Consider the following 15,261-nt stretch of genomic DNA (forward strand, 5'->3'; position numbering starts at 1 on the left):
CTCAAACACACCATGCTCTTTTCCTCTGCGAGTTGCTAACCAGCGATGTTCAGGGATGTAATCATATCAGGGCCTCAGCTACTCCCACATGTGAAAGAGCTTCCCTGGCAAACGCTTGGTTTGAATCAAGCCAGCTTGACGGAGCTGCTGCTGTGAAGAGCTCAGAGAAATTTGGCAGAAATTCCGGGAACAGTTTTCAGTTCTCTTTAAGAGAAACACTCAGTGTGAATCACACAGCGTGATGTACATTTGGACAATTTTACCTTCTTGTATTTTTCAGAGCAGTTTCAAAGTTGAATATCAATTATATCTAAAAAAATGTTTCCCAGTGGGTGTAGCTTCTGGATGGAAAGCACGGAGTTTTCTTATGTTGGTTGGTAGTAAATAGTGTGGAGAGGCCTCACTCAGGGTGAATTCCGGCCATGTCCCCATTATTACAGCACTGTGCACCAGCAGTGTTGGTCCTGGCAGTGTGGCGTGGCCACATGTGTCCATTTCAGTCCTGCCAGGGTCTCTGATTTTCTGTTCACTGCTGCCATGTCGATTGCCCATTGAAAGCCTGTACTGTGTTTGCAAATGCAAGCTGCCTCAAAGCTGGTAAGTAATTTTCTTATGCAGAGGTTGATTTCACAAAAAGAAATGACACGATGAAAGCCAAAACAATTTCCTAATCCTCACGCTCTTTTTTCCTGTCTTTTATGGACACAATAAATAGAATATCGACGTTGTTTACAAAGAATATTTACTCATTTGGTTAGTTAGCACTGAAAACAAATCATGTGGGGTTGATGAAATTTAGACTGTTATCTAAAACTGGACACTTTTATTGTTATTATTATATTTGTCTTATCAATTTTATGTCAGTGTAAATCTAGCAGGATTTTGAGTTTTGTGTATGCAGAGGACTTTCATCACCTACAGGATCTGGCAACCTATGGATTTGATAAGTGGGTTGGCACATTGATGTTTTTGCACTAAATATTACAATCAATTCACCACATGTGTATTGTTGTGTGCCATGTCCCAGGATTTGTGTTAAGGAATAAAGGCATTAAGAAGATGAATCCATTGGAGTTTCTGCCCTCAAGAGATCTGTAGTTTAATGAGGAGAGGAGTTTATAGATAGTCACAAAACAATCAAAGTAAGGTACTGCATACAGAGCTCAAAGAATAGGAAAATTATACACAAGGTGGAAAGGAATGCTGTGTGGGGAGTGGTCAGGAAAGTCTCCATAGAAAAATTGCATTAAGGATATTTCTTAAGGAATGGAAAGGTTTTGTAGGGCAGAGTTGGATCATTGAGAAACTCACTGTGGTGGCAGGTATGTCATAAGCAAAGTTGAAGGGCTGCAAAACCATGACACAGACTCAGTCCAAGAAACAATCCATCTACCTATTACAAGTCACCCGGGGAAAAAGGAAAACAGGCTGATAAGGCAAAATGACACAGCATGCACCCTCCCCCTGTGAGTGTGTGAATACTGAAGCCTCACACTCGTGTGTCATGTGGGTTACTTTTTTTTCAAAGCAACTTTTTGGGAATCCATTCCAAAATGGCCGAATAGGAATAGCTCCGGTCTGCAGCTTCCAGCCTGATCGACGCAGAAGACGAGTTATTTCTGCATTTCCAACTGAGGTACCTGGTTCATCTCACTGGGACTGGTTGAACAGTGGGTGCAGCCCACAGAGGGTAAGCTGAAGCAGGGCAGGGCATTGCTTCACCTGGGAAGCACAAGGGGTCGGGGGATTTCCCTTTCCTAGCCAAGGAAAGCTGTGACAGACTGTACCTGGAGGAATAGTACACTCCTGCCCAAATACTGTGCTTTTCCAATGGTCTTAGCAAATGGCACACCAGGAGATTATATCCCACGCATGGCTCCACAGGTCTCACACCCATGGAGCCTTGCTCACTGCTAGTGCAGCACTCTGAGATCGAACTGCGAGGTGGCTGCCTGGCTTGGGGAGGGACATCTGCCATTGCTGAGGCTTGAGTAGGTAAACAAAGAGGGTGGAACCAGGTGGAGCCCACCACAGCTCAACAAGGCCTGCCTGCCTCTGTAGACTCCACCACTGGGGGCAGGTCATAGCTGAACAAAAGGCAGCAGAAACCTTTACAGACATAAACGTCCCTTTCTGACAGCTCTGAAGAAAGCAGTGGTTCTCCAAGCATGGTGTTTGAAATCTGAGAACAGACAGACCACCTCCTCAAGTGGGTCCCTGACCCCCTGTGTAGCCTAACTGGGAGGCATCTCCCAGTAGGGGCCGACTTGACACCTCATACAGCTGAGTGCCCCTCTGGGACAAAGCTTCCAGCGGAAGGATCAGGCAGCAATATTTGCTGTTCTGCAGTCTCTGCTGGTGATACTCAGGCAAACAGGGTCTGGAGTGGACCTCCATCAAAATCCAATAGACCTGAAGATGAGGGACCTGACTGTTAGAGGAAAACTAACAAACAGAGAGGAATAGCATCAACATCAACAAAAAGGACATCCACACCAAAATCCCATCTGTAAGTCACCAACATCAAAGACCAAAGGTAAATAAAACCACAAAGAGGGAGAGAAACCAGAGCAGAAAAGCTGAAAAATTCCAAAAACCAGAGCACCTCTTCTCCTCCAAAGGATCGCAGCTCCTCACCAGCAACGGAACAAAGCTGGAGAGAGAATGACTTTGACAAGTTGACAGAAGTAGGCTTCAGAAGGTCGGTAATGACAGACTTCTCCTAGCTAAAGGAGGAAGTTTGAACCCATGGCAAGGAAGCTAAAAACCTTGAAAAAAGATTAGACGAATGGCTAACTAGAATAAACAGTGTAGAGAAGACCTTAAATGACCAAATGGAGCTGAAAAACATGGCACGAGAACTACGTTATGCATGCACAAGCTTCAATAGCCAATCCGATCAAGTGGAAGAAAGGGTATCAGTGATTGAAGATCAAATTAATGAAATAAAGTGAGAAGAGAAGTTTAGAGAAAAAAGAGTAAAAAGAAACAAACAAAGCCTCCAAGAAATATGGGACTATGAGAAAAGACCAAATCTACATTTGATTGGTATACTTGAAAGTGACAGGGAGAATGGAACCAAGTTAGAAAACACTCCTCAGGATATTATCCAGGAGAACTTCCCCAATCTAGCAAGGCAGGCCAACATTCAAATTCAGGAAATACAGAGAACACCACAAAGATACTCCTCGAGAAGAGCAACCCCAAAACACATAATTATCAGATTCAGCAAGGTTGAAAGGAAGGGAAAAATGTTAAATGCAGCCAGAGAGAAAGGTTGGGTTACCCACAAAGGGATGCCCATCAGACTAACAGCAGATTTCTCAGCAGAAACTCTACAAGCCAGAAAAGAGTGGGGGTCAATACTCAACATTCATAAAGAAAAGATTTTTCAATCCAGAATTTCATATCCAGCCAAACTAAGCTTCATAAATGAAAAGGAAATAAAATCCTTTACAGACAAGCAAATGCTGAGAGATTTTGTCACCACCAGGCCTGCCTTACAAGAGCTCCTGAAGGAAGAACTAAACATGGAAAGGAACAACCAGTACCAGCCACTGCAAAAACATGCCAAATTGTAAAGACTGGCAATGCTAGGAAAAAACTGCATCAACTAACGGGCAAAATAACCAGCTAACATCACAATGACAGGATCAAATTCACACATAACAATATTAACCTTAAATGTAAATGGGCTAAATGGCCCAATTAAAACACACAGACTGGCAAATTGGATAAAGAGTGAAGACCCATCAGGGTGCTGTATTCAGGAGACCCATCTCATATTCAGAGACACACATAGGCTCAAAATAAAGGGATGGTGGAAGATCTACCAAGCAAATCGAAAGCAAAAAAAAGCAGGGTGGCAATCCTAGTCTCTAACAAAACAGACTTTAAACCAACAAAGATCAAAAGAGACAAAGAAGGCCATTACAGAATGGTAAAGGGATCAAATCGACAAGAAGAACTAACTATCCTAAATATATATGCACCCAATACAGGAGCACCCAGATTCATAAAGTAAGTCCTTACAGACCTACAAAGATACTTAGACTCTCACACAATAATAATGGGAGACTATAACACCCCACTGTCAATATTAGAAAGATCAACAAGACAGAAGGTTAACAAGGATATCCAGGGCTTGAACTCAGCTCTGCACCAAGTGGACCTAATAGACATCTACAGAACTCTCCACCCCAAATCAACAGAATATACATTATTCTCAGCACCACACCACACTTATTCCAAAATTGACCACATAGTTGGAAGTAAAGCACTCCTCAGCAAATGTAAAAGAACAGAAATCACAACAAACTGTCTCTCAGACCACAGTGCAATCAAATTAGAACTCAGGATTAAGAAACTCACTCAAAACCCCACAACTCCATGGAAACTGAACAACTTACTCCTGAATGACTACTGGGTAAATAACGAAATGAAGGCAGAAATAAAGATGTTCTTTGAAACCAGTGAGAACAAAGACACAACATACCAGAATCTCTGGGACACATTTAAAGCAGTGTGTAGGGGGAAATTTATAGCACTAAATGCCCACAAGAGAAAGCAGGAAAGATCTAAAATCGACACCCTAACATCACAATTAAAAGAACTAGAGAAGCAAGAGCAAACACATTCAAAAGCTAGCAGAAGGCAAGAAATAGCTAAGATCAGAGCAAAACTGAAGGAGTGAGAGACACAAAAACCCCTTCAAAAATCAGGGAATCCAGGAGCTGATTTTTTGAAAAGATCAACAAAACTGATAGACCACTGGCAAGACTAATAAAGAAGAAAAGAGAGAAGATTCAACTAGATGCAATAAAAAATGATAAAGGGGATATCACCACAGATTCAACAGAAATACAAACTACCATCAAAGAATACTATAAACACCTCTATGCATATAAACTAGCAAATCTGGAGGAAATGGATAAATTTCTGGACACACAAACCCTCCCAAGACAAAACCAGGAAGAATTTGAATCCCTGAATAGACCAATAACAGGTTCTGAAATTGAGGCAATAATTAATAGCATACTGACCAAAAAAAGTCCAAGACCAGATGGATTCACCAGATGGATTCTGGTATGGTAATTCTACCAGAGATATAAAGAGGAGCTGGAACCATTGCTTCTGAAACTATTCCAATCAATAGAAAAAGAGGGAATCCTCCCTCACTCATTTTATGAAGCCAGCATCATCCTGATACCAAAGCCTTGCAGAGACACAACAAAAAAGGAGAATTTTAGACCAATATCCCTGATGAACATCAATGTGAAAATCCTCACTAAAATACTGGCAAACTGAATCTAGCAGCACATTAAAAAGCTTATCCCCCAAGATCAAGTGGGCTTCATCCCTGGAATGCAAGGCTGTTTCAACCTATGCAAATCAATGAACGTAATCCATCGCATAAACAGAACCAAAGACAAAAACCACTTGATTATCTCAATAGATGCAGAAAACTCCTTTGACACAATTCAATAGCACTTCATGCGAAAAACTCTCAATAAACTAGATATTGATGGAATGTATCTCAAAATAATAAGAGCTATTTATGACAAACCCACAGCCAATATCATACTGAAAGGGCAAAAGCTGGAAGCATTCCTTTTGAAAACTAGCACGAGACAGGAATGCCCTCTCTCACCACTCCTATTCAACATAGTGTTGGAAGTTCTGGCCAGGGCAATCAGGCAAGAGAAAGAGATAAAACGTATTCAGTTAGGAAAAGAGGAAGTCAAATTATCCCTGTCTGCAGATGACATGATTGTATACTTAGAAAATCCTATTGTCTCAGCCCAAATCTCCTTAAGCTGATAAGCAACTTCAGCAAATCCTCAGGATACAAAATCAATGTGTAAAAATCACAAGCATTCCTATACACCAATAACAGACAAACAGAGAGCCAAATCATGAGTGAACTCCAATTCACAATTGCTGCAAAGAGAATAAAATACCTAGGAATCCAACTTACAAGGGATGTGAATGACCTCTTCAAGGAGAACTACAAACCACTGCTCAACGAAATAAAAGAGGACAAAAACAAATGGAAGAACATTCCATTCTCATGGATAGGAAGAATCAGTATCATGAAAATGGCCATACTGCCCCAGGTAATTTATAGATTCAATGCCATCCCCATCAAGCTACCAACGGCTTTCTTCACAGAATTGGAAAAAACTACTTTAAAGTTCATATGGAACCAAAACAGAGCCTGCATTGCCAAGACAATCCTAAGCAAAAAGAACAAAGCTGGAGGCATCACGTTACCTGACTTCAAACTGTACTACAAGGCTACAGTAACCAAAACAGCATGGTACTGGTACCAAAACAGAGATCTAGAGCAATGGAACAGAACAGAGCCTTCAGAAATAATGCTGCATATCTACAACCATCTGATCTTTGACAAACCTGACAAAAACAAGAAATGGGGAAAATATTCCCTATTTAATAAATGGTTCTGGGAAAACTGGCTAGCCATATGTAGGAAGCTGAAACTGCATCCTTTCCTTACACCTTATTCAAAAATTCATTCAAGATTGATTAAAGACTTAAATGTTAGACTTAAAACCATAAAAACCCTAGAAGAAAACCTAGGCAGTACCATTCAGGACATAGGCATGGGCAAGGACTTCATGACTAAAACACCAAAAGCAATGGCAAAAAAAGCCAAAATAGACAAATGGGATCTAATTAAACTGAAGAGCTTCTGCACAGCAAAAGAACTACCATCAGAGTGAACAGGCAACCTACAGAATGGGAGAAAACTTTTGCAATCTATCCATCTGACAAAGGGCTGATATCCAGAATCTACAAAGAACTTAACAAATTTACAAGAAAAAAATCAAACAACCCCATGAAAAAGTGGGCAAAGGATATGAACAGACACTTCTCAAAAGAAGACATTTATGCAGCCAACAGACACATGAAAAAATGCTCATCATCACTGGCCATCAGAGAAATGCAAATCAAAACCATAATGAGATACCATCTCACACCAGTTAGAATGGCGATCATTAAAAAGTCAGGAAACAACAGGTGTTGGAGAGGATGTGGAGAAATAGGAACACTTTTACACTGTTGGTGGGACTGTAAACTAGTTCAACCATTGTGGAAGACAGTGTGGTGATTCCTCAAGGATCTAGAACTAGAAATACCATTTGATCTAGCCATCCCATTACTGGGTATATACCCAAAAGATTACAAATCATGCTGCTATAAAGACACATGCACACATATGTTTATTGCAGCACTATTCACAATAGCAAAAACTTGGAACCAACCCGAATCAATGAGAGACTGCATTAAGAAAATGTGGCACATATACACCATGGAATACTATGCAGCCATAAAAAAGGATGAGTTTATGTCCTTTGTAGGGACATGGATGAGGCTGGAAACCATCATTCTGAGCAAACTGTGACAAGGACAGAAAACCAAACACCACATCTTCTCACTGATAGGTGGGAATTGAACAATGAGAACACTTGGACACAGGGCAGGGAACATCACACATCAGGGCTTGTCGTGGGGTGGAGGGATGGGGGAGGGATAGCATTAGGAGAAATACCTAATGTAAATGTCGAGTTAATGGGTGCAGCAAACCAACATGGCACATGTGTACATATGTAACAATCTGCACGTGTACCCTAGAACTTAAAGTATAATTAAAAAGAAAAACAAAAACAAAAACGAAAAAGCCACTTTTTTTTCTTTTTCTTTTTCTTTCTTTCTTTCTTTTTTTTTTTGAGATGGAGTCTTGCTCTGTCTCCAGGCTGGAGTGCAGTGGCGCTATCTCTGCAACCTCCACCTCCTGGTTTCAAGAGATTCTCCTGCCTCAGCCTCCCAAGTAGCTGGGACTACAGGCACATGCTACCATGCTCAGCTAATTTGTGTATTTTTAGTAGAGATGCGGTTTCACCATGTTGGCCAGGGGCAGCTCGATCTCTTGACCTCGTGATCCTCCTGCCTTGGCCTCCCAAAATGCTGGGATTACAGGCATGAGCTACCACCCCCAGCCTTTTCAAAGCTAGTTTTAAGAAAGGTCTAGTACTGGAAAGATTGCAAAGGGAGCCATGGATGACTCAGTTTTATTTCTGCTGTTGTGTTGCTGTGGGTAAGTTATTTGTTACCAGTGTGTCCCAGGTGCTGCATTTATAAAAAGAGGGAATTGACACAAGGTCTGCAAGGACATAGCTTGTGATTTTTACACATTTTCCCAAACTGACAACAACTCAGTTAACATGGTGTCCACCTAGCTATTTCAGTCAAAAACCTAGAAATTATCTTGAAAAATATGCATCTCAAATAAATATTTCTCTTCATCTCATATCTTGAGTTCACATGTCTGAATCTAAGCTTTTCTGCATAGATTCTCTGTGCAATCTAGCCCAAGCCACCATCATTTCTGTTTGGACTCTGACCACCCCTCCAAAATCATCTCTTTGCTTCTTTCCCTCCTTAGGAGCCATTTGGCATACAACAGCTAAAGTGATTGATTTTAGAAGGTCAATCTAGTAAGGCTACACTATTTTTGAGAAGTCTACTGTTTTGTTTTTTTTTTTTCATTTACATAGGGGGTATATAACTGGGCATGATTCAGGGAGAAAGCTTAATGAGCAGGACCCATTTCTGTCCTCCACTTCAATGGATGGGTTCCCAGACACTCCCTGTGATGGCCGGAAGGTTGGACCTGGGTCAGAGCTTTACTTGGGATTCTGCTTTACTCTCATGCTAGGCTCATCCTACTGCTATAGCCTTGACCTGTCATTCAGGTAATATTTTGGACTCACGGAACTTCATTTTGTCTCATCTCTCAATTTGTTCACAGTCATCTGCTGGAAACTTCCTGCAACAACCTTGTGTAAGATTACCCACGGCTCAATTTCTAACAGTGGCATTTTGGGTACAAACGTCAGCTTAAACCTACATTTTAAATTATTACATTGTTCAAAAGAAATACCTGTGTTTCGTCTTCTAGATAAATGCATCAAGTCATCATCTATTCTCAGAAAGTTTTAGAAGAGAATTCTTAAAATAAAGCTCTATAGCATTTTATTAGAACATTGTATTATCAGTGAGAATTTTATTTCCATGTCAAATAGAATCTTTGTTGATTTTATTTGACATGGAAATAAAATTCTCACTGGTATTTTGTTCTTTTATTATATATTATGTTCACATCTATGTTATTTTATTATATATTATGGTCACTGTGAGAATTCAAGGAAAATTCAAGAATATTTCCACTGAAAAAAAGCTTATAATTGATTCTGGGAAGCAAGCTATAAATACCTGATGAGTGAAATATCAAAACACCTCAACATCTGTTTTTAAGCTTATTGGTGAGTGAATTCCTTTAAAATTAATTGCCTTAGTAGCTCATAAGAGTAGCTCTGAAAGGCTTTCTGAAGGAAAGAGCATTTGAACTATGTTTTGCAGAGCAGGATTTAAAGAGACAAAGAGAAGGCAGGAAGCATCCCAGGCAGATGACAAGGCCTGAGTACATGGGTGGAGGTGAGAAAGGCCAAGACCCGTGGATGGGGCAGAAAGTGAATCCCACTGGAATCGTGCCACATAGCCGGGTCTAGTCAGGGGCAGAAGGTGGGCTCTTGCTTGCTTAGATAAAGAATAAGAAGGAAGTATAAAAATTTGGAAAAAAGCATTGCCCCAAACTCAAAACAATAACTTTCTGGGCTGGATCTGACATTGGTTAGTGATGTAGCTAAACAATGGCAGATATGAAATCTTAGCCTCAATCTTTTCACCTGCTAGCATGTGTGATAACACTCATCTTCCCCACCCCATAGTGTCTGTGGCCAAAACACGAGACAATGCCTGTCAAAGGGGCTTTAAAGGCAAAAGAGTACCAGAAAATGTAAATTCATTATTTAGGAACTGAGACGTTAATAATATTTAATTGAGGACATTTCATGTCCAAACCAGTGCTGGATAAATAGGAGTGGATTTTTTCGGAAGGGCGGAAAGGCATTAGGAGGCTATTCCAATATTCAGTAATGCCTAACAGGATACAAGCCTCTTTTTCAGCCTGACGGTGCATGCTCACAAGTGCTAGATGTGTTATTGCAAGAATCAAAGGCAGGGAAATGAAGTTATGTGGGTGAAATATTAGCACGGGAAATGTGTGAACACAGTTTGGAAGGCTGATGATTACGTACTGATGCATTTTGGCACGTGTACAAAATGAAAGGGAACATTAACATCATCCTGAAAACTTGCTGCTATTCCACTAAATAACACATCTTTTATTGGGAGGAGAATTTGAAATAACTTTCCAAATGTAGAGATTTCAAAAATACTTTTCTAGAAATTTCCTTTTATGGAATTCAAAGATGGGTGGGCATATATATTTATTTCTTTTGGGGGGCTTCAGTAGCACAGAATCCATCATACTCATCAATCCTTAATTCATGACTGTCATCATTGTCCTTGCAAATATCCAAACTTGTTTTATTATTTGATTTTTCAGTCCAAAATTTGTTTACTTCCTTGTATTTTCTATTTCTTTCTTGAGGATTTCAATTTCTTTGCTGAGGCTTTGTGTTTTTTCATTTGTTTCAATTATGTTTGCCATTGCCCTTGAAGTATCTTTACTGTGGCTGCTTTAAGTCCCTGTGAGGTCACTCTATGATAGCACCTCTATGCTGGATGTTGGCATCTATGGCTTGCCTTGTTTCATCCACTTTGTGATCTTGCTGCTTCTTGGCATGACAGGGATTTTCTATTGAAAGAGGTGCACATTTCGTACTATGTCAGAAGACTCTGGGTCTTACTTATCTCACTGGAACCTTCTGTTGCAGCTGGTTCCTTTGATACTGCTCTGGCTTAGAAGTGACTGATGGCTTGTTACTGCCAGGTGGGGGTGAGAGTCTGGGGCCCCATCTGGCTTGTGTGGATGGGGAAGGGCAGCAGTGTTTTGCATGTGTTGTGGCTGGAGTCGAGTGGGTACTGTCTAAGTTTTCTGTCTGGGTAGGCTGCTCCTTTCTTCTGCCAGGGCTTTCTTTGTGCCTGTTAGCATTTCTATATTGCTGGAGTCCTCTGCCCTGAGGTGAGTCCAAGAACTCACCTCTGTGCCATTCTTGCATCCTGAGGCCCCAGCCAGTCTGCCTTCTGAGCTGTCTAATGCTTGTTCTACTCATAATGTTCAAGATTATTCATTATGCTCAGTGGGAGGAAGAGGGAAAAGGATGCATATCCCATCTCCCCAGAAGGGAAATCCCACTCATTAAAAATAATTCCTTTGTACATTGTATATTTCTACTTTACTTTGAGAATCAGAGTTCCTAAGAGTATTATGGCTGAAGGACCAGGAGTGTCCCAGGTGAGCCTCAGTCCAGTCACTGTGTCAGCCTGTGAGTTTCTCATGGAAGTCCGACACACGAAACATCAATCAAAGAGCAGCACATGTTTGACGCTGGGCTAATGCCCCGTCACAGCAGTAACTGTGTAATTTATTATCCAAACTAGAATATCCAGCTGAGAATAAAAGAAAGTGCTAAAACATTAAAATTTTATGTACTTAAAAAAGTATATATTCATGTAAATTTGAGCAAAATAAAAATGTTTCTTTATAATAGTATCTGAATATTAAACACAAGCAGTTATTATTACTGTTGCATATTCACTTAATCTAAAAAGTTCTTGATGATGTCAACATTGATAATATCAGTATTTTAATAACTTATTTTTCAAATTACCTTTTATAGAATTCTTCTTTAAAAATATGTATATTTCTTTTCAAAGTTGCAAAAGTTATGGTTACAAACATTCAACATTTTCAACACTTTCAATTAACTACAATTTTGAAAAAAAGAATACTGGTGCTCCAACTGCTGAGGTACCAAGAACTCAGCCTCTCAGACCACCTGAGCCAGGGGCATCATTAGTCTGGATGTCAATTTTGGGTGGGAGGGGGCTGCCCCCCCTTCTTTGTTCAACCACAAAATGGTGAATATGGCTTTCTTGACTCAAGCCTCTGCTCCCTCAAAGAGGCCGTAACTCTACCTATTGTGTGTCTACAACATGTCCAGCGTGCTGTGACTCTCCCCCTATGGAGAGGTGGTCCTGCCTGGACTGACCCCTGTGACAGGTGCACAGGTGAATGCAGCATCACTTCCGAGCTTGGGTAGAAAACCCCGTGGAGCTCCTGAAGACTCCCTTCTGGACACGGACACGGGTGCCTTCGCAATACTGGCAGGGGGTGCCTCCTGCTGGCTTCCACGAAGCTGTCATGTGGCAAAGTGAGAGAGAGAGAGAGAGAGAGAGAGAGAGACATAGAGATTCAGATAAATGGAGAAGATAGAGACAGAGAGACAAAGATACAGAGACAGATGCAGTTTGAGAGAGGGAGATACAGACAGAGAAGATAAAGAAACAGATAGACAGATAAAGATTAAGAAGTGGGGGGCAGGCCCAGGGACCCTCAGCTGTTTGAGTTTACCTGCCTGGGTCACAGGTAGGTGCATGAAGGACGCTTCAGCCTTCCAGATGACCAGCAGACCTCTGTAAAGTCTGGCCGCGGTTTCATTGAGTGACTTTAAATAAAAAGCAGCTGGCAGTGCTTCTTCAACTCCCACATTGTAAGTTAAGTGAATGATCGTGATTGAGGTGCTGTGTTGGGGTTGTTTGTAAGGCAGCCAGCAGAGGCATCGATTACTGATACACCTAGTTTCATATTGACAGGAGAAGGCCAAAAAGCCATTCTCATTTTTATTTCTTTATAAGTAAACTCATTTTCTTGGCTAGAGTGTAGGTATTTTTTAAATCTCAAAAGTTAAAGACATTCATCAAAATCTTTTTTTCTTCAATATTTTGCCTTTTACTTAGGTATTTCATTTCTCATAATTTTTATCTTATTTTCTTCTTGCATTTATTGCATTTGGAGATTCTCAAGCATGCCTTCATTGCTGATTTTCCTTCTACAGGACTGGTTGCTTCAATCAGAACGCACATGGTGAGTTTCCGAGCCTCGGTTCTGGGCAGCGCTCCTCCCCACCTCTGCCTGCACCTGGCTGGGCCCCACATGCCTGCGACTGCAGCACCTCATTCTTCCTCGGCCTTCACAGAGCTCAGGTTTCTGCCTGTTAATTAAAACACAACCCAAGCATGTTTTACCATTTGCCTGCTGACCACTCCTCTAGCTCAGGGCCACACACATTCTGTTCTTCTTTTGTTCTTAGCATTTGACACTATTTGACACATTCGCTTTTTTAATGATGTTTTGGCTCCCTCTGTGAGAATATCAGGTCCGCAAGAGCTCGGCTGTGGTTTTGGTGCCTCTTTATGCCCAGTGTGCTGAATGCTGCCAGGCTCATGCTAGCTCCTTAAGAAGTACTTGCAATATTACATTTTATCCAATTAAATTGAATTTTGTTTTCCACAGAGTCCATTTTGAAATGTATGTTTTCATCTTTACTCTGATTTTCTTTATTTCTCCTACCACTCTCTTTATGCATTGTTACTTGATTTTCTGTTAACTGAGTTTTGAGGGAGGAGAAGTTGGCCACTGTTGCCCACTGGCTGGGTGAGTGAGTCCGGTTCTCCCTTCTTACCATCGGTTTGGTGGTTGTTGGAACTCGTCGAGCTTAAGGCGGGGATCTGTGGAGGCACACGGCCCACAGTCATGGTAGTCTGGATGCCTGCCTTTCCCCGAGGCCATCCTAAAACGCAGGTATGACTCTTTTTTTTTTTTCTTCTTTTTTTGAGACGGAGTCTCGTTCTGTCGCCTAGGCTGGAGTGCAGTGGCTCGATCTCGGCTCACTGCAAGCTCCGGCTCCTGGGTTCACGCCATTCATTCTCCTGCCTCAGACTCCCGAGGAGCTGGGACTACAGGTGCCTGCCACCACGCCCGGCTAATTTTTTGTATTTTTTAGTAGAGACGGGGTTTCACCATGTTAGCCAGGATGGTCTCAATCTCCTGACCTCGTGATCCGCCCACCTCGGCCTCCCAAAGTGCTGGGATTACAGGCGTGAGACAGGGCACCCGGCAAAATGCAGGTATGACTCTTTTGTCCACTCTGCTGTTAGCTGGAATGGACTGCTGCAGGCTTGTGATGGGCCATCTTAAAGAGGGAGACAGAGGCAGTCAGCTGAGGAGAAGCACCTGCTCTGTGAGGTGCTGGGGTCTTCCCTTCCTGCCAGAGAAAAGCCAACATCTCTAGGCTAGGTCAATACAGAGGAAGTGGGAGTCACCCCTTCACCTTTCAGCCTGACGTCCCGACCCAGTGTTACTTAGGTTTGACTAGTGGAATTGTGTCATTGTACCTGGGTAATCATGCATCAATACTGCTGATTTCCAGCAGTATTATAACTTTACATGCCTTATTCTATTGTCATTCATATTTCATTGAGAGGGTAGGAAAAGGTGAGTCAATAAAAAATAACTGCACAATACAAATCTAAAATCTATGTTGACTTAAAATGTTTAAATTACCATGTCTAAAATAAGTCTTTAAAAAGTCCCCTAAATTTAGCCACGATCCAATCTCTCACTACTCTACCTACCTACCTAAGTCTCTGTATATCTTCCTTTATAGACATGCATAGAAAGACACAATCCACCCACCCACCCACCCATTCATCCATCCATCTATTCATCCATCCATCCATCCATCCATCCATCTATCCATCTATCCACCCACCCACTCGTCCCCCCTACCCTTCCACCCACCCATCCTCCATCCCCCCCACCCATCCACCCACCCACCCATCTATCAATCCATTCATCCGCTCACCCACCTACCTATCCACCCACCTATCCATCTTTCCCTTCCTCCCACCCTCCACCCATCTATTCATCCATCCATCCATCCATCCATCCATCCCTCCACCCATCCATTCACCCACCCACCCATGTGTTCATCCATCCACCCATCCATTCATCTACCCACCCATTCATCCACCATCCATCCATCCATCCATCCATCCATCCATGAACCCACCTACCCATCCATCCATCTACCCACCCATACATTCCCCCCACCAATCCATCCATCCATCTACCCACCCACCCATCCATTCCCCCCACCCATCCATCCATCCATCCATCCATCCACCCACCCATCCATTCCCCCCACCGATCCATCCATCCATCTATCCATTTATCACCCATTTATCCATTTATCCGTCCATCCATGCATTTATTCGTCCATCCATCCATCCATCCTCATGTCTACATAGATAGAGACACATGTACATATCAATATCTCTATACAGAGGAAGAGAGAAACCTTTTTTTGC

Source organism: Homo sapiens, chromosome 18, assembly GCF_000001405.40.
Source record: "Homo sapiens chromosome 18, GRCh38.p14 Primary Assembly".
Taxonomy (NCBI): domain Eukaryota; kingdom Metazoa; phylum Chordata; class Mammalia; order Primates; family Hominidae; genus Homo; species Homo sapiens.